Genomic DNA, 19,175 nt, shown 5'->3' with positions numbered 1-19,175 from the left:
TAAGCCGAGTGCACAGGGTAGGTAGATCCCAGAATGCATTATCGAAGGTGGCTATATTATAGGATGCCCTTCAGGAGATTTGAGAGCTCTGGAAATTTAAAATGTACATGTAGGGTGGGAAGGGGTGAGGATCAAAAAAACTACCTATTGGATACTATGCTTATTACCTGGATAGTGAAATAATCTGTACACCAAACCCCCATGACACACAATTTACCTATATAACAAACCTGCACAGGCACCCTTGAACCTAAAATAAAAGTTAAAATAATCAAATGCACATGTAAAGCAGGAGTGTGGACTAAATAATTTATCTCATTATTCACCTTTAGTATAGTGGAAATTTTTCTAGATCTTTAAGCTTCTGGAAATGGTTCTAGACCTTCTTATAGTTTCAAGGACCCCCTGAAGTAGCACAGGATTTTGACATCTCACCCACATCTTGAGGACTAGATTTCCTCATATCATCATAAGATGAAGGAGTAGAATAAGAAATCAGTTTTTCCCCAATATTAAAGTCCAGGAACCTATGAGCACAATTTATCCCACATTTTAAAAATATTTGACAATTCATCCTGTTTAATTTTGGTTACTAATTGTGACACTTTAAAAATTTCACTTAGTGAGACATTGTCACTTGACTAGACACTGAGAGAAATGTAAAGGAATCTAATTTAAAAATCTACTACCTACTGAATGTTTACTAAGTGCCAGGCCCTGTGCTAAATAAACACTTTCCAGTTATTGTCTAATGTAATACAGTTCTACAAGCTCTTTATTAAGATTTCATTTTGTATGAAGTAATAAGTGGTAAAGCCAGGGTTCAAATTCTGGTGTTTGACTGTAAAGCCTGTGTTCCTAACTGCTGTGTAAATAGTCCCATAAATGTCCAAGGCATGGTAACTAAATAATATAAAACTCAGTTTCAAAACTGTAAAAGAATATGGCTGAAATTACCAAAATTGCAAATATCATGTGTGAATACGTGACTAGTGATGGATGTGTTTATTATCTTGTATAATAACAAAATAATGTCACCATGAAGAGTTTTTTAAAACACAATATTGTAAGAGTTAATATTTATTAAAAAATAAATAGTTATAGGTAAATACATGAACTGAAAATATAATTATAGAAACACAATGGATTATTTTAAAAAACTAAAACTTGGGTAATACAATATTCTTAAAGTTGCTTCAGTGAGGTCACACATTTTCCCTATTATAGCTATTTCTTACAGTCTTCCTTTACAATATAACTTTTTTTTATTGTTCTTTTCAGTTGGGGAAAGATGGCTGTGTCTCCAAGTTTATTAACACAGATGCTTTTGAGTGAAATCGGGAAGGATACTGGAGTTTCCTCAAAGTGCATGCTCTTGTTACAGAGGACGGAACAGGTAATGCTCTCTAAGAAGCCAGACCCCAATGGATATCACTGTCTCATTCGAATTGTTACCTGATTGCCAACTATACAATGTCAATACAATCATTTTTTCCCTGAGGGCTTTTCATTGGGTTCATCTGATTCAAATTCTGAATGTTTCATATATCAACCAAAATTTTCACACACATGTTGATGGATGGTCAAGTGTTACATTCAAATAAGGCTACAATAGAAGTAAGAATGCCAATTTATTGATTTATAATGGGAGTATCTGGTTTTAGATATAAGCATATTCCTTTTCCTTAATCATTCCACAGATAAATATAATTGAGACATGTAGTTGTCGATTATAAAATTTTTTTGGTGAGCATAGAATTAGAACATGGGAAGTAAAATAGTTTGGGGAGAATATTTTACTAAGCCTCTGAAAATAAATCCAGTGAAAAATCTTTATCTCATCCAGGAAAATCTGTCTCCCTCCCCACTCCCTCCCTCCCTCCCTCCCTTCCTCCCTTCCTTCTTTTTCTTTTTCGGAGTTTCGCTCTTGTTGCCCAGGCTAGAGTGCGGTGGCGTAATCTTAGCTCACTGCGACCTCCGCCCGCCAGGTTCAAGCGATTCTTCCGCCTCAGCCTCCCGAGTAGCTGGGATTACAGGCGCCCGCCATCACGCCCGACTAGGTTTTTGCATTTTTAGTAGAGAGACGGGGTTTCATCATGTTGTCCAGGCTAGTCTCAAACTCCTGACCTCAGGTGATCCTCCCGCCTCGGCCTCCCAAAGTGCGTGGATTACAGTCGTGAGCCACCTCGCCCGGCCAATAATATTTCTAATGACTAATTTCTTGTATCTCCTGGACCTAATACCCCTTCTTCCTAAAGCACAAAATGGTAAGTCTTAATCCTTGAAATGCTTTTTTCTGTGCTGACCACTTTGTGTTACTGTAGTACTTTTAAACTTACGCATATGTAACTGATATTTCAGCAAAATTTCTGTTCCTGAAATATTAAATTACTAATGTACTTATATCAGTCTTCAAAGTTTTAGAGGTATCTGTCACATCCAGAGGAAATTCAAGTATTAAACAAACATTTAATTGATAATTAGGTATATTTGTCATACTGAACTAAATAAATAATAAAAGAATAGCCAGGCACAGTGGCTCACACCTATAACCCCAGCACCTGGGGAGGCTGAGGCAGAAGAATTATTTGAGCCTAGGAGTTTGAGACCATCCTCGGTGGCAACATAGTGAGACCCCGTCTCTACAAACAATACAAAATTAGCTGGGTGTTGTGTCATGCAGCTGTAATCCCAGCTACTCAGGAGGCTAAGGTGGGAGAATCACTTGAGCCCAGGAGGTTGGGGCTGCAGTGAGCCATGATCGCACCACTGCACTCCAGCCTGGGCAACAGAATGAGACCCTATCTCAAGAAAAAAAAAAGAAAAAGAAAGAGAGAGAGAAAGAGAGAGAGAGAGAAAGAGAGAGAAAGAAAGGAAGAGAGAGAAAGAAAGAAAAAGAAAGAAAGGAAGGAAGGAAGAAAGAGAAGGAAGGAAAGGAAGGAAGGCAGGAAGGAAGGAGGGAAGGGCTTGCTACATGATAACATATGTCCATATTTATATGAGAAATAATGTAGCAATTAAAAATAAGTTTTTATAAGGTTTTACAAAAACTTTATAAAATAATGATAAAAAACATGTAAAACTACATATACATTTGCACATATTGAGTGTATGTGTGCATGTACACATATACACACACAATCTCAAACATATTAATATAAATGATAAATATAAAGAGAAATAGAACTTGTGGGAAAAAGCCTAAAATGCTAATTTTGGTTCTCTTGGAGATATCTGATATTTGGTAATTTGTATTTTCTTTTTTAAGCATTTCCATTTTTAATAATACACATATATTACAATTCTTACTATTAATAAATTAAAGCATATGTTTTAGGCAAGCAGAGAGTAAAAGAAATGTTGTTAAACAATCACTTAGGAATAATGAGAAATCAACGTTTACTAATCCATCATGAAGAAATGGTAAGTGAATTGGATATTTTATAAAAAGCAGCAACACCAGTTGGCACAAGCATTTTGTGCCATCTTGATTAACTTTCTTTATAAAAGACATCTGAAGTACCTACATATTAAAACTGCTTAGGAAAGGGAAGGGAAACTATTAGAAGGAATGGTGAGCTTTTGTGGTTTTTTTCAGAAGCTCTGTTTGTCTGTTTTTGGAAGTGACATTTTCTCAATAATACTTAATTGACTGCAGGTGTGCAGCTTACAGGCTCCAAGTACGTATACATAGACTCATCAGTGGTGAAGATTAGTTTTGAGAATATGGATATGTCCTACAAACAGGGACTCCCTTATTTTGGCCAGGTTAGAAAGCAATCATTTTTTACATACCTTATTCATTCATTCATTTGTTCTTTCATTTATCTACTAATCTTCCAACAGCTATTCCCTAAGAAATTACTATGTAGGAATCTCTGTGCTAAGCACTGTAGGGTGACCTACACTGTTGATTTTCATAGATCTGTCCTGGTGTATATGTTTTATCAAGTTGTAACTGTTAATAGTTACAACCACTTCACTCTAAAAGTGTCCAAGTTTGGACAATAAATTATATAGTCTATATCAGTATTAGGAATAAAATGGTGATGTAGAGAGGCACTTTTATCACTGCTTTTATGGAGTTTATAGTGTAATAGAGATAATAAACATTAAACAGATAATTTTACAAAGAATTATTGTAGTTGTGATAGGTGCTATGTCAGTGAAATACTGACCATTTAACTACTCTACATCAGGAGCTGACAAACCACAGCCCATAGGCAAATCAGACAGAGGCCTGCCTTGATACAGCCAGTGAACTATGAGTGGTTTTAACATTTTTAAAAGATTATTTAAAAAATAAAAAAATATATGAGAGAGAGACCATGGTGTTTTACAAAAGAAGTTTGCTAAAATCTGGACTAAATGATCATGGAAAGTTTCCCTGAGGAAGTAATATTTAGGTTGACACAAGAACACTAAAAAAGAAATACAAAAGTGGGTAGCCTGGCTTACATCTTACAAAGCAGTTTCTCAAACTGGCATCAGCATCACCTAAAGGACTTACTGAAACAAATTTCAGTAAAAGTCATTTAATGAACAAATTTAGATTGAAATACAGCTTTGGCAGATAGATAAATTTGATATATGTTCACTTCACTTACTGAATAGTGGTGGATAATGTTAACATAATTTTTTCTAACCTTTCTCTTCACTTTGTACATTTTTGCTTTATATATTTCCATGTTCTGTTACTAAATATATAAAACTGAGAGATATCTTCAAAGAATATAAAATTTTTTCTGAATATAAAATAATTTTATCTAGACTTGAGAATTCTCCATTTCCTCCCTCTTACGTTGTTGTTACCCAAGATGATTTCTTGGGTTCCCATTTGTCTCTTGTATCTTTTCTGTGCAATTTAAAAGTGTTTTCTGTGTAAAGAGCATTTTGTGTGAAAATGTTATATTTTAGCTTCCTTTCTGAACTTAATCTTCTGAGGTTTTTGTTATTAGTTTGTTTTATTCGATTGGCAAAGATCTCCAATTTGAATATTAGAGATGATAGTGGACTTCCTGGTTGTATTTTGCATATTTTGGGGAATGCTTTTAAAAATGTAATGCGTAAACCTACTAAGTAACTGTAGCATTTTGTGAGACATACTTTATCGAGTCAAAAAATTTTCCTTTTTTAGTTCACTAAGAATTTTCTATAATATGTTAGTTTCTGTATCTAGATATTTCTTATTAAATTTAGGTTTTAAAATAGAGGGCATAAAATATGTTCACTTATGATTTGAAAAAATAAATCTATCATAATTTATTTCCCCTTTTTTATTACTAGTTGTGTTTGTGTTTTTTTCCCATTAGTTTTTGGATTTGTTAATTATCTTTATTTTTAATGTTATTTTAAATGATTTTCATTACATCATTTATTTTTATTATATTTTTTCTTCTACCTCTTTTGGTTTTTTTTTTCTAGCATCTTGTTATAAATACTTATGTTAAACTTCCATGTTTTCAGATTTATACAATTTTTCCTGAATACTTCTTTCCTCCTCACAGGTGTTTTTCTATACTATTTTTATTTTTTAAATTATGAAAAAATGCACATATCAAATTTACCATCTTAACAATTTTTAAGTTCAATTAAAATCATTTTTGATGATTTCATTATTTTTATTTTTATTTTTACCTAAGAATTACTTAGAGTTTTAAGTTTTCTTCTCTAGTATGTGTGATTATGGTTGTATATTTTTTTAAAAAGTAATTTTTTCTTTTGTAGTAACAGCTACAATTTATTGAGCACTTACTAGGTCTTAAATATTTGCTAAATACATATACAGTACTCACAATAGCCCCAGGAAATGATAGATGTATTTAAGTTTTGGATCAATGATTAATGATTAGCTGAGTAGAAAGCTCTTTTCTACCCTATAATAAGCTAGACATTAGAGACCGACATTCCAATTAATAGAATTAACCCTGAATTTATAGAACTGTTTTCTCATAATAATGCACATCTACTGCTAAATGACTACTCTCAAAGTTGCTTTCTTTTTCATGTTCAAAGAAAATTACATTTGCTTTCCTCTGAGTTTTACAATAGAATACTCTTCAGTGCTACTATAGAATCTATTAGGGAATTCTTTGAAATATAAATCAATTTAAGCCCTAACATCAGAGCCCCGTCCGGGAGGTGAGGGGCGCCTCTGCCCGGCCGCCCCTACTGGGAAGTGAGGAGCCCCTCTGCCCGGCCACCACCCCGTCTGGGAGGTGTACCCAACAGCTCATTGAGAACGGGCCAGGATGACAATGGCGGTTTTGTAGAATAGAAAGGGGGGAAAGGTGGGGAAAAGATTGAGAAATCGGATGGTTGCCATGTCTGTGTAGAAAGAGGTAGACATGGGAGACTTTTCATTTTGTTCTGTACTAAGAAAAATTCTTCTGCCTTGGGATCCTGTTGATCGGTGACCTTACCCCCAACCCTGTGCTCTCTGAAACATGTGCTGTATCCACTCAGGGTTGAATGGATTAAGGGCGGTGCAAGATGTGCTTTGTTAAACAGATGCTTGAAGGCAGCGTGCTCCTTAAGAGTCATCACCACTCCCTAATCTCAAGTACCCAGGGACACAAACACTAAGGAAGGCCGCAGGGTCCTCTGCCTAGGAAAACCAGAGACCTTTGTTCACTTGTTTATCTGCTGACCTTCCCTCCACTATTGTCCTGTGACCCTGCCAAATCCCCCTCTGCGAGAAACACCCAAGAATGATCAATAAAAAAAATAAAAATAAAACAAAAAAAAAAAAAAAGAAAGAAAGGAAAGTGCCCAGAAATCACATGGCTTGTTCATCTTTCTGTGACTGGAAGGGACTCAAAGGATCTTTCTAGTCTAGGTGTACTAAAATTAGGGCAAACCTCTGTGTGATCATAAAGGCATGGTGTCACGTGTCTGTGGCCTGTGGATTGCTGAGACAAGTTGAATTTTTCTTAGAAGATCAAGCCTTGAGATGAAACTAAGTTCAAAATCTGTGTAGATGGTGCAAATGAGGCATCAGTCTACAGATGCTGAGCAAGAAAAAAGGATTGTGTTTGCTTGGACCAGCAGGAAAATGATAAGTGGCAGAAATAAGATGAAAGGCTCAAAGCAGAAGTTGTTTTGCAGAAACTGACTGAGCTAAAAAAAGGATGGCTCAGACAGTTCTTCTGGTTGTTGTGGCCTTAGATGTTGTTAAGAAGGTGCCTTTAAAGGCTTCAAACTGGCATAGATACTGATGCAGGCATTGTATCTACTACAAATCATACAATTTCAGAAGGGACTTTTTAAAGCAATCATTGCCTGTACTAGTAAGAGAATGAGAAAGAGATTTCTAGCGAATAACCATGGCCTATCAGAGCAGTCACTACAATGTTTTAGGGAGGATAATGCTAAATTTTGCATTTTAGAAAATTTGGTTTGATGCCAGTATAGAGAAAGAACAAGCAAAAGCAATACAGGAGAGAGAGACTGGATAGAAAAAAATAGAAGACGTATGAGGGAAAAAAGATAAGATATTGATACAAGGAATAGCAACAGGAACAAACGTGATCAGTTGGAAACAGAAAATGTTAAAAAGATACAATTGAAAATATTTGATCAACAATTGAAAATTATGGGAGAAGAAAAATAAAAAGTCTAAGATGTCTCTAGATATTTGACTTCAGTGACTAAGTGAATGGTTGAGGTATTCTTTGAGATAAATAAGAGAAATAGAAAAAAAGGAAGGTTGGGCACAGTAATAAATCATTCCAATTTGAGAGTTTCTGTAGCATTTTTATTATAAAAAATACTCAGGATGGTTAATTCTATGGGCCTGAGTTTTCAGAGATCTTCGTGGGCAGGAGAAACAGAGTTTAGGCTCATTAGTATATTAATGGTACATGTCATACACTCAACAGGAATAGATGAAACCACACAGGAAGTGCATACGCACCAAGGAGAGCAGGGGTCCCCATGATAGAAGCTTGGCAAATGCCATCAAAATGGATGCCCAAATTTACTACATGCTTCCGAAATGTATTTTCTTCCTCTTGTACAGATTAAATTGCTTAATCCAGACAACTCTCCAATCCCAAATGAAGTTGTTCAGTTGCATCTGAAGGACAAAATCGTGGGAAACTACACCACAGATGTAAATGGCATCGCTCAGTTTTTCTTGGACACATATACGTTTACATACCCAAATATCACTTTGAAAGTAAGTTAAACGAAAGGCAAGTAAAATAAAAACAAACAAGCAAACAAAAAACTGCACTGGCTAGCTAAGGTTTAGGTCTATGCGAAATTATATTTATGGAACAGAAATGAAAAGATACACCTTGGTGTGAATCTAGAGTACTGAAAAATAGTTAAATATTAAGAATATAGGCCCTATGAAAAGTAGGTTAAAAATTATTTTAAGAGTCCCGGGAAAAGACAGAAGGTTAGCATACATACTAAATTGTATAAAGGAGAATTAGCTGAAAATAAGCAACGCTTCACTTTTATTAAGGAAATAGAAAGAGAATTGTGTTTTTATAGAAGGAAATATTTGAGAAACCCTGTAATCTATTACCTTGGAATAATGTAAAGAATTTCTCTGGATATATTCAAGAGAGAAGTAAACTACTATCTGTAATAATTAAATATCAATCCTTCCTAGATATTTTTAAAGGACTCCTCAGACTTTTTGTGTTGATAATGGTAAATTACTATGGTCAGAGTAAACTCCTTGCTGTATTTCATAAAAACTTTCCCATCTTTCAGCAAAACTTCATATTATGTTATCAGTAGCAAGGTAAACGTTTGCACTCATGGGTTCTTCGTATTATAGTGAGGGAGATATAGCAATCTACTTGCTAGCAAAAGTAATAATTATAGTAAAGAATACAGTAAAATATTGAATGTAATATTATTGAAGTAGGACTTGAATAGACTAAATTGTAAAAACCATAGTGGTCGCTCTAGAGTATAACTAGAAAATGGGGAATTGGGTTAGATTTAATGTAGAATGGCTATAAAATTTTCTTGCAGAGATAAAGCAGCATGATGATAAACCATCTTATCAAATATTCTTTCACTCATCCTTTCTCTTTATCCTAAAATACCCGTAATTTTGATTTTTTGTCTAGGCAGCCTACAAGGCCAATGAAAATTGCCAGGCTCATGGCTGGGTGTTGCCTCAATACCCTCAGCCCGAGTACTTTGCATATCGATTTTACTCCAAGATGAATAGCTTCCTAAAGATTGTCCAAGAGATGGAAGAACTGAGATGCAACCAGCAGAAGAGGGTGCTAGTGCACTGCATTCTCAATATGGAAGACTTTGAAGACAAAACCTACACAGCAGACTTCAATTATTTGGTATGAGCTGAAAATATTCTTCCACAATCAAAATTGCTTCTTTTCTTTAAAACTTCTTTGAACCTAATGAAATCCCTGTACCTATATGCCACGAGGAAGCTCAAAGTTAACATAAATGATAAAACTTATATAACTGGTATCTATTTTTAAGAAAGGAGGGAAAAGGCCATGACACCACAACCCATATGCACTCTGTCATTCTCAGACCCTTTCTTCAGAGTTACCCATTTCTATTTGGACATTGCTGGGATCAAACCAGAGTTCTGATATGTACTAGCTTTGTGTTACTTTTTGAAAGCCACTTAAACCTCTAGAGAATCTTAGTTTTTTGTAATATATTGTCTAATCATCAAGATAATTATTTAATAATACATATAAAGCCCTTTGCCCAACTTCTGGCACACAAAAGATATTAAGTATTAGTTTGATTTTAATATATTGCTATTATGGATTATTTTACACTGTCTAAATGGGTGCATGATACTTCATTGAGATTTAGGAAGATGATATAAAATTAATGAAACATGAATTAATTCAATCAGCCAACACTTATTGAATGTTTTTCATATTCCAGGTGCTGTATTAGCAATTGTAACAATAGAAGAAATAGAAAAAGTATAACTGGGGACAAAACATATATTAGAATTACATAAGTGTTACAAACGAAACATGTATGGCCACTGAGGTGTTACAGAAAAATGAATGATTAACTCTAGCTGGAGTTTAGGACAGTGATTATCAGAGTATATTTCCTAGAGTAGCAGTATCAGCATCACCTAGGAATAATTTAGAAATTCTGGGAATAAGTGGCCAGGCGCAGGGGCTCACGCCTGTAATCCCAGCACTTTGGGGGGCCGAGATGGGCGGATCACGAGGTCAGGAGATCCAGACCATCCTGGCTAACACGGTGAAACCGCGTCTCCACTAAAAATACAAAAAGAAATCAGCCTGGCATGGTGGCGGGCGCCTGTAGTCCCAGCTACTCAGGAGGCTGAGGCAGGAGAATGGTGTGAACCCAGCAGGCGGAGCTTGCAGTGAGCCGTGATGGTGCCACTGCACTCCAACCTGGGTGACAGAGCAAGACTCTGTCTCAAAAAAAAAAAAAAAAAAAAAAAAAAAAAACATAGGAATAAGTTAGAAATCTTGTCCTCCGAAGCACATTAAAATTTGACAACCACTAGTTTAGGAAAAAGATATATGCCTATATATTTACATTTATATGTATATACATATTTTTAAGGAAAAAATACATAAAGAGAATATGCCTAAATAGGATTTTGTGGGATGAATAGGAGTTTTCTGGATGATTAGAGGATATGAGAAACACATTTAAGCTTATTTTAGGAAATAATATAAGAGGTCAAAGATGTCTGAAGTGTATTATTCTGAGAACTAAAGGTGTTTGAGTCTATCTATGTGAAGAATGAAAGTAGTACCACATGATTTCTCACATTTTGCAAACTTAGAATTCTGGAATAGTCTTTTGATACTTCTTTTTTTCGTGCTATTTACTGCATCACCAATTTCTATCACTTTTTCATTATATTATCTCTCGCATTTTTTCTTTCCTTCATCATTTCCACAAACATTAAAATATTTCAAACCAGCAAGGTATGGACACCAAACCATCAGAAAAGGTATGAGTGATAATTCCACTGAAGCCCTTAGCTAAGCCAAGCATGGCTCATTTAGACTGGGGGCAAAGTGGTGGGAGTGGGAGGAGCTGGTTGTGGAGGAGAGGTTCTAGGGAAGCAGGGAGGGGACTCTGGGGAGCTCAGGGAAGTGGCTCTTTACCAACCGGTACAGAAATCCTTCAACATGTCAACAATAATATTGCCATACTGGGGTGTGAGAAATACCAAGCATCCTTGAATGAGAAGCTGAACCTCTTTTTTTTTTTTTTTTTTTTGAGACAGAGCCTCGCTCAGTCGCCCAGGCTGGAGTGCAGTGGCTCGATCTCCGCTCACTGAAAGCTCCGCGTCCTGGGTTCACGGCATGCTCCTGCCTCGGCCTCCCGAGTAGCTGGGACTACAGGCGCCCGCCACCACGCCCGGCTAATTTTTTTGTATTTTTTTAGTAGAGACGGGGTTTCACCGTGTTAGCCAGGATGGTCGCGATCTCCTGACCTCGTGATCTGCCCGCCTCGGCCTCCCAAAGTACCGGGATTACAGGGAAGCTGAACCTCTTAACTAGTTTTTATAAAGACACTCCCACATGCCCCTGACTTTTGCCTTCTTTTCTGGCCACACCTCTGCTCGACTTAATATCCAATACTTCCTAATCCAGAGCTGAGCCATTTTGCAGGTCTGTGGTGTGAATTGATCTACTTGTCATCAGCTTCCCTCTTGAAATAGCGTAGGTTTGCCCCCCTCTGATCTGATAAGGCCTTTACAATTACTTTACCTCATTTCCATTTTAAATGAGTCTGCTAATAGCCTTTTTCTTCCTCTCTCCCTTCTTCCTTCCTCCCTCCTTTTCTTCTTTCTTTCTTTATTCTGGAAATCTAGAGTGATTTTTAAAAAAAGCAATTAGGATTATTTATTTCACTCCCCTAATTGAAATACAGTTAATGACTGCCTATTTCTATTGAAACAAATACCAGACTCCTTTCTTTTGCCTGCAACACTGTATCTGCTCTGCACCTGTGAAGCTCGCCCGCTTCATTTTGCATCATTCTACACTTCAGCCTTCTTTATTGCAGACACAGAGGGCTTTCATTTTCTTGGACAAGCCATGTGCTTTTCTGGCTCCGAAGCCTCCCACAGGTTTTCCCTTCTGCCCATAACAATCTTCGTTCCCATTTGCTACCACAGTTCCCAACCTGCCTGCACCTCATTTTCCGAGCTGATTCCTCCTCAGCATTCATCTCTTGGCTTAAATGAAACTTTCTAATCTCCTAGACAATTCCAGTCTTCTACATATTCTTTCATAATAGGCTGGGTGGACTTTAATTCTGCCTAGCAGGGTACACATCACAGAGAGAACCCTCAATATCATATTTTAGAATGAATGGATAGAGGCTGAATTAATTTGATTCTCAGGCTTTCAGTAATTAATTTGATACTCAGTCTTTTAAGCTTTTTTCTTAATTGTGTGACCTGACAAATATCAGTACCTCTGTGTGCCTCTTCAGTTTACTCATCTGTTACGAGAGCTGTCTTTCCATTTTGAGAAGTCAGTGAGCTACTACAGCCAACAGTGCTGAGACCTCTCAGGCTCATTAAACTTTGAGCTTTATGCCTTTTTGCAAATGTTCTAGTTCCCAAAACAATATTTTCCAGCTAGTTGAGGCTCAGTTCTTTTTTTATGAGCTAATAACCCAAACTTGGCACTTCAGAGATTTAAAGCAATTTTAATATTCAGTGAAATATTAAACGGACTAGGAGTACCAGCTCCTGCAATTTCAAGCTGCAAGATCTTACGGAAGCTTTAAATTTTCTGCAAGTCTCAGCATCTTTTAAAATAATATTCTAAAACTGTAATTTAAAAATTCAAGGAGTTTGTACTAGATTTCAAGTCTCCAGCCTTTGTTTGCACTTTAGAGATCATAACAAAAGTCTGCTGATGCAAATTTGCACACAGTTGCTGATAAAGGTGAAGTGAGAGAAGCTTTTTTCTGGAGCACCCCCAGCTTGCTACTTTATTTTCTTTTCTTTAAATTTTGGGTGGAGATGGATGAACAGGCCTTGCTTATACCTTGCATATCAAACACACCTTTCAGAAAACCAGACAAGCACTGGGAGACTCTTAATGCCTTTGTGTAACTTTGTTTCACTGAACTAAATAAATTTAGATGTAATTCAGCATTTGCAAATATGAATAAAAAGTTGTTTATTGGTCTTAGAAAACTGTTTTGGAATGTGGAACATTAAATTGCTTTATAGCAAGTTTATCTGTGACTCCTAAATTCTCTTGAATATAGCTGTTAGAGTCATATGCTTGTTTACTGGTAACCTGAGTTTACTAGTAAACATGTCAATAGTATTGCTCAGACAAGAAAAGGAGGTAAATCACATTCGTTTATAATTAAATGAAATTTAGTTTCTATCCTCTAAACTTTACGATTATATTTTCATTTTCCTAGGTGATTTCAAAAGGTGTAATCATTCTTCATGGGCAACAGAAAATTGAGATCAACGAAAATGGTGAGGCCTCTAATTTTAGCATATAATTTAATACAAATAGAATGCTTTAATTGGGATATATTTTACATTTTTCTTTAAAAGTCACAATCCTCCCATTTTAGGACTGTTTACTGCCCCCTAAACTACCCTTGGGGAACATGTAAAGACATGTGAATAGGCACAATGCCAAATGAAAAAATAATTACTTAATTAATAGTGCATTAATTATATTCCAAACACTACTATAATGGGAAAGGGTCATTGTCCTTCCCTTTCTTTTCCAAGAAAGACAGGTAAGTACTTTTACATTCAAACAAGAAGGGATTTTTAAAAAGAAACAAAAGTAGACTGAAGTTTGACGTAATAAGAAATGTTCAACTATTTCTTTCTTTTATAATTTATGGAATAGGTTATGAACTCCTCCTAGAAATGCTTTATAAATTAAATTTGGTGGGTCGGGGCAGTCTCTTTGGCAGTGGGTAGGATGGCTAGAAACTCAATGGAGGGTTTCTGCAAGATGACAGTCAGCTATCTCACCAAAGCACTTTTTCGGTTTGAAATTTTCTTTTCACAGGGAGGAAGGGCATATTTTCCATTTCTATAGACATTAACCCTGAATTAGCGCCCTCAGTACATATGCTTGTCTATAGCTTGCATCCTGGAGGAGAAATGGTCACTGATAGCACCCAATTCCAATTGAGAAATGCTTCGAAAATCAGGTAGGTGCCAAAAATGATTCTTTTTTAATTTGGGGGAAAACTAAGGAGAACTTAAGAGAGTGTTGGGTTTAAACTCCCAATTTTTCATAGAATTGCAAAATGAAAAATAAAAGAAAGCTATGGAGAAGTTAATATGTTGGATGATTGAAGAGTAGCAGGATTATAGCATTCACTTTGGATGTTGTTCCAAATCCAGTTGTTCCTAATAATAATATTATTAGGTGGGTAAAGCACAGAAAGCCCTTTTAACTTATGTGTGTTTTTAAAAAAGTTAAGAATAGTCTAAAAGATGATTCTTCTCATATGGCTTGCCATCCTTTTGCCCTTTTATTTTCATTTTCAGGTCAACTTAAATTTTTCTAAAGAAAAAAGTTTACCAGGATCCAATGTCGATCTTCAAGTCTCGGCTGCTTCAAACTCTCTTTATGCTCTTTGGGCGGTAGACCAGAGGGTATTGCTACTAAGGAATTATGGTCAGCTGCCAGCACAAACTGTGAGTGATTAAAACCATCTTTGTTTACCACCCACAGTATAGTTTTATGTCTTTACCTTTGGATAAAAACAGGATACCTTAAATAAACTAGAGGAGAAAAAAATTGTCCAGAGTTCCAGGCATAAAAAATATTTTAGGTTAGAAATCATGTACAATGACTCTACTCCAATTATACTGATTCTCTTATGGAAAAAATGAGCAACACTTTTAAAAATAAATAACAATTGCTAAAGGTCTACTATTTGACACTTGCTCTACTGAGTATTCCCATATCTATTATTTAATTTTATTCTCATATTAATCAACCCTATAGAACTAATGCAGTATTCCCATTTTGATTAATGTCTAATCTTAGGCTCAGGGAGATTTAGTAAATTAACCGAGAACATTCTCTAACAATGTCCTTGAATGAGTCCTCAAAGAGTATTGAGCAGTGCCTTTATCTGGAATGTATTAAAATCCAGTTGAGCCTCATGGACTTTTTGTTAGTTTTAATGTGATTTAGCCAGCAGTTATTTAACTGATTAAATAGTATTTCAAAGTTTTTACAGATCTAAGATCCTATACTTTCTCAATATGTGTTTATTTGGTATAGGTATGATGACAGTTCTACACAGGATATTCATAGGATTATATAGGTTATTTATATACTGCTTGTGGGGAAAAATGAATTGTTTTCTATGAAAAAATACAGTTGATTCTCTTCTAACATCTAGGTGTATAGTCAGCTACATTCCAGCGAACTACATGGCTATTATTTCAGAGGACTTAACTTAGAAGATGGCCTTAAAGTGCCGTGTCTTGAAGATGGACATATCCTTTACAATGGAATTTATTACACACCTGCATGGGCTGACTTTGGAAAAGATGGCTATGACCTTGTGAAGGTAAGGCAACTAAGTCTTAAAATGGTGAATATATGTGACAATATATAAATAAATAGAAATATTCATGGTGTGGGTTTTTAATCTCAGAATTCTTAGAGTACAAATTTACAATTAGTACTAATGTCTGAGAAATAATATCTCAAATAATGTTATAATAGCAAAAAGACTTAATAAAGTTCTTATAGTTATAATTATATAATAGTTATAATATTATAAAGCTATAATAGTTATTCTATATAGTTACAATAAATTATAGTTATAATATATTTTTAAAAGTTGTATTAATATAATTTTATTTAAAAGTTATAAAGTTATAATTATAAAGTTATAAGGTTATTATAATGTTATAATAAGGTTAAGTTATAAGGTTATTAGAACTTCATTATAAAACTATAATAATATTTTAAATAACTAATAATATTATAATATTAGGAAAAGAACTAATATGTGAGGGAATTATCAGCTTTCCTGACATAATATTATGTACATTATATACTGGTGTCTAATATAAATCCCCATTTTGCTCCTACGTCTACCCTCGAATTTGATTTCTACTATTTTAAAGTATTCTACTATATTTAAAGTGTTTATAAGTGAGATAATATCCCTAGTTCAACAAAAATGCCAAATTCAAAGTAGTGAAAGTACAGTGGGGTATGATATGAGATGTCTTTTTTTGTCCTCTCTTATTTAAAGGTTTTCATCAACAGCTCTTAATTAGGAAAATAGAGCAAAAGCCATTAGAATTAGAGAAACTAAGGAACTCAAAGACATGGAATTTAGGAAATGTCAGTGAAGTATCTCTAAATATATGACAATTAGAGATGGAGAAATAAATAAGTGGAAATTGAAAATATACATAGAACAAAAAACCAGTCCAGACTGCTAGTCTATGTTGTTATGTGATCTAAAATTGATTTTATCTTGAAAGGCAACAGGATTAAAGATTTTTACCAACTCTCACCTCCGGAAACCAGTATTGTGCAAGGATTCTAACCATCTTGAATCTACTGATTACATACCCTTAGGTAAGTCACAGTATAATGCGAAGGGCAGGTGACAGGTTATAATCTCTTAATGCTTTTAAACTGATTGGGAAAAGAGGGGAGGTGATTATTTTCTTTTGCTTTGTCTTTTAATTCATTTAATGTGCCTGTCATGTCAGATGTTAGAAATACAGTGAGAATAATGCAGGTAAATCTTTATATTCGTGAAGTTTACATTGAATTTGGGATGCAGACAATATACAAATGGCTGCATATTGTCATTTGTATATTTCTTGTGTTGCTGTAAAGAAATACTTGAGGCTGGGTAATTTACAAAGAAAATAGGGGCCAAGTGCGGTGGCTCACACCTATAATCCCAGCACTTTGGGAGGCTGAGGCAGGCAGATCACCTGAGGTCAGGAGTTTGAGACAAGCCCGGGTAACATGTTGAAACCCTGTTTCTACTAAAAATACAAAAAATTAGCCAGGCGTGGTGGTGCATGCCTCTAATCCCAGCTACTCGGGAGGCTGAGGCAGAAGAATCACTTGAACCCAGGAGGCAGAGGTTGCAGTGAGCCAAGATTGTGCCATTGCACTCCAGCTTGGGCAACAAGAGTGAAACTCCTTTTCAAAAAAAAAAAAAAGGAAGAAAATAGGTTAAACTGGCTCACGGTTTTGCAGGCTGTGCAGCAAACATGGTGCTGGCATCTGCTCGGTTTCTGGGGAGGCCTCAGAAAACTTACAGTCGTGGTGAAAGACAAGGGGGAGCAAGTGTCTCACGTGGCCAGTATGGGAGCAAGAAGAGGAGAGGCATCACATACTTTTAAACAATCAGATCTCACAAGAAGTCACTCACCATTGCAAGAACAGCACCAAGCAATGAAGGGTCTGCCCCCATGACCCAAACACTTCCTGCCAGGCCCCACCTCCAACACTGGGGATAACAGTTCAACCTGAGATTTGAGGGGACAAATATTCAAACTATATCAATGGCATAATTTCAGATGGTATTAAGTGCTCTGATAGTTAATCTTTCCTGAATTATTGCTACATACCAAGCAACATTCTAAGCATTTTACAAATGTCAACCCATTTATTCATCACAGTCTATAGATTGGAAGCTATTAACTGCAACTTATCAATGAGAAAAATGAAGCTTAGGCAGGTTAAGTAACTTGTCCAATGCAACAGATGCTAAATAACAGAGATGGGATTATAATCCAGACGTTCTGATCCCAAAGACCATGTTTCTCTATCGTGAGTTACTATCTCTCAAAGAACTACTGTAAGGAAAATAAAACAAGATAAAGGAAAAGAGCAGAACATCAGGACGCTATTTTATTTTATTTTTATTTTTTTTTTATTATTATTGTACTTTAAGTTTTAGGGTACATGTGCACAATGTGCAGGTTAGTTACATATGTATACATGTGCCATGCTGGTGCACTGCACCCACTAACTCGTCATCTAGCATTAGGTATATCTCCCAATGCTATCTCTCCCCCCGCCCCTGACCCCACAACAGTCCCCAGAGTGTGATGTTCCCCTTCCTGTGTCCATGTGTTCTCATTGTTCAGTTCCCACCTACGAGTGAGAATATGCAGTGTTTGGTTTTTTGTTATTGTGATAGTTTACTGAGAATGATGATTTCCAATTTCATCCATGTCCCTACAAAGGACATGAACTCATCATTTTTTATGGCTGCATAGTATTCCATGGTGTATATGTGCCACATTTTCTTAATCCAGTCTATCATTGTTGGACATTTGGCTTGGTTCCAAGTCTTTGCTATTGTGAATAATGCCGCAATAAACATACGTGTGCATGTGTCTTTATAGCAGCATGATTTATAGTCCTTTGGGTATATACCCAGTAATGGGATGGCTGGGTCAAATGTTATTGCTAGTTCTAGATCCCTGAGGAATCGCCACACTGACTTCCACAATGGTTGAACTAGTTTACAGTCCCACCAGCAGTGTAAAAGTGTTCCTATTTCTCCACATCCTCTCCAGCACCTGTTGTTTCCTGACTTTTTAATGATCGCCATTCTAACTGGTGTGAGATGGTATCTCATTGTGGTTTTGATTGGCATTTCTCTGATGGCCAGTGATGATGAGCATTTTTTCATGTGTTTTTTGGCTGCATAAATGTCTTCTTTTGAGAAGTGTCTGTTCATGTCCTTTGCGCACTTTTTGTTGGGGTTGTTTGTTTTTTTCTTGTAAATTTGTTGGAGTTCATTGTAGATTCTGGATATTAGCCCTTTGTCAGATGAGTAGGTTGCAAAAATTTTCTCCCATTTTGTAGGTTGCCTGTTCACTCTGATGGTAGTTTCTTTTGCTGTGCAGAAGCTCTTTAGTTTAATTAGGTCCCATTTGTCAATTTTGGCTTTTGTTGCCATTGCTTTTGGTGTTTTAGACATGAAGTCCTTGCCCATGCCTATGTCCTGAATGGTAATGCCTAGGTTTTCTTCTAGGGTTTTTATGGTTTTAGGTCTAACGTTTAAGTCTTTAATCCATCTTGAATTGATTTTTGTATAAGGTGTAAGGAGGGGATCCAGTTTCAGCTTTCTACATATGGCTAGCCAGTTTTCCCAGCACCATTTATTAAATAGGGAATCCTTTCCCCATTGCTTGTTTTTCTCAG

At 35.8% G+C, this 19,175-nt stretch overlaps 1 pseudogene across 1 annotated transcript in view; it reads left to right on the top strand.

The window, feature by feature from the left end:
• The window catches only part of OVOS2P (ovostatin 2, pseudogene), an 89,584-nt pseudogene that overhangs the window by 14,254 nt on the left and 56,155 nt on the right, over positions 1-19,175 (top strand). Inside the window, exons 7-14 of the transcript NR_153414.1 lie at positions 1,282-1,396; positions 8,021-8,179; positions 9,093-9,323; positions 13,408-13,468; positions 14,022-14,166; positions 14,510-14,659; positions 15,376-15,546; positions 16,478-16,574. The product of NR_153414.1 is annotated as an ovostatin 2, pseudogene (transcript). The remainder of the gene's footprint in view (positions 1-1,281; positions 1,397-8,020; positions 8,180-9,092; positions 9,324-13,407; positions 13,469-14,021; positions 14,167-14,509; positions 14,660-15,375; positions 15,547-16,477; positions 16,575-19,175) is intronic.

The sequence above is a fragment of the Homo sapiens genome, chromosome 12 (genome assembly GCF_000001405.40).
Source record: "Homo sapiens chromosome 12, GRCh38.p14 Primary Assembly".
In the NCBI taxonomy this organism is placed as follows: domain Eukaryota; kingdom Metazoa; phylum Chordata; class Mammalia; order Primates; family Hominidae; genus Homo; species Homo sapiens.
The sequence above is the reverse complement of the archived record's forward strand: the minus strand, read 5'-3'. Positions and strand labels throughout refer to the sequence as shown.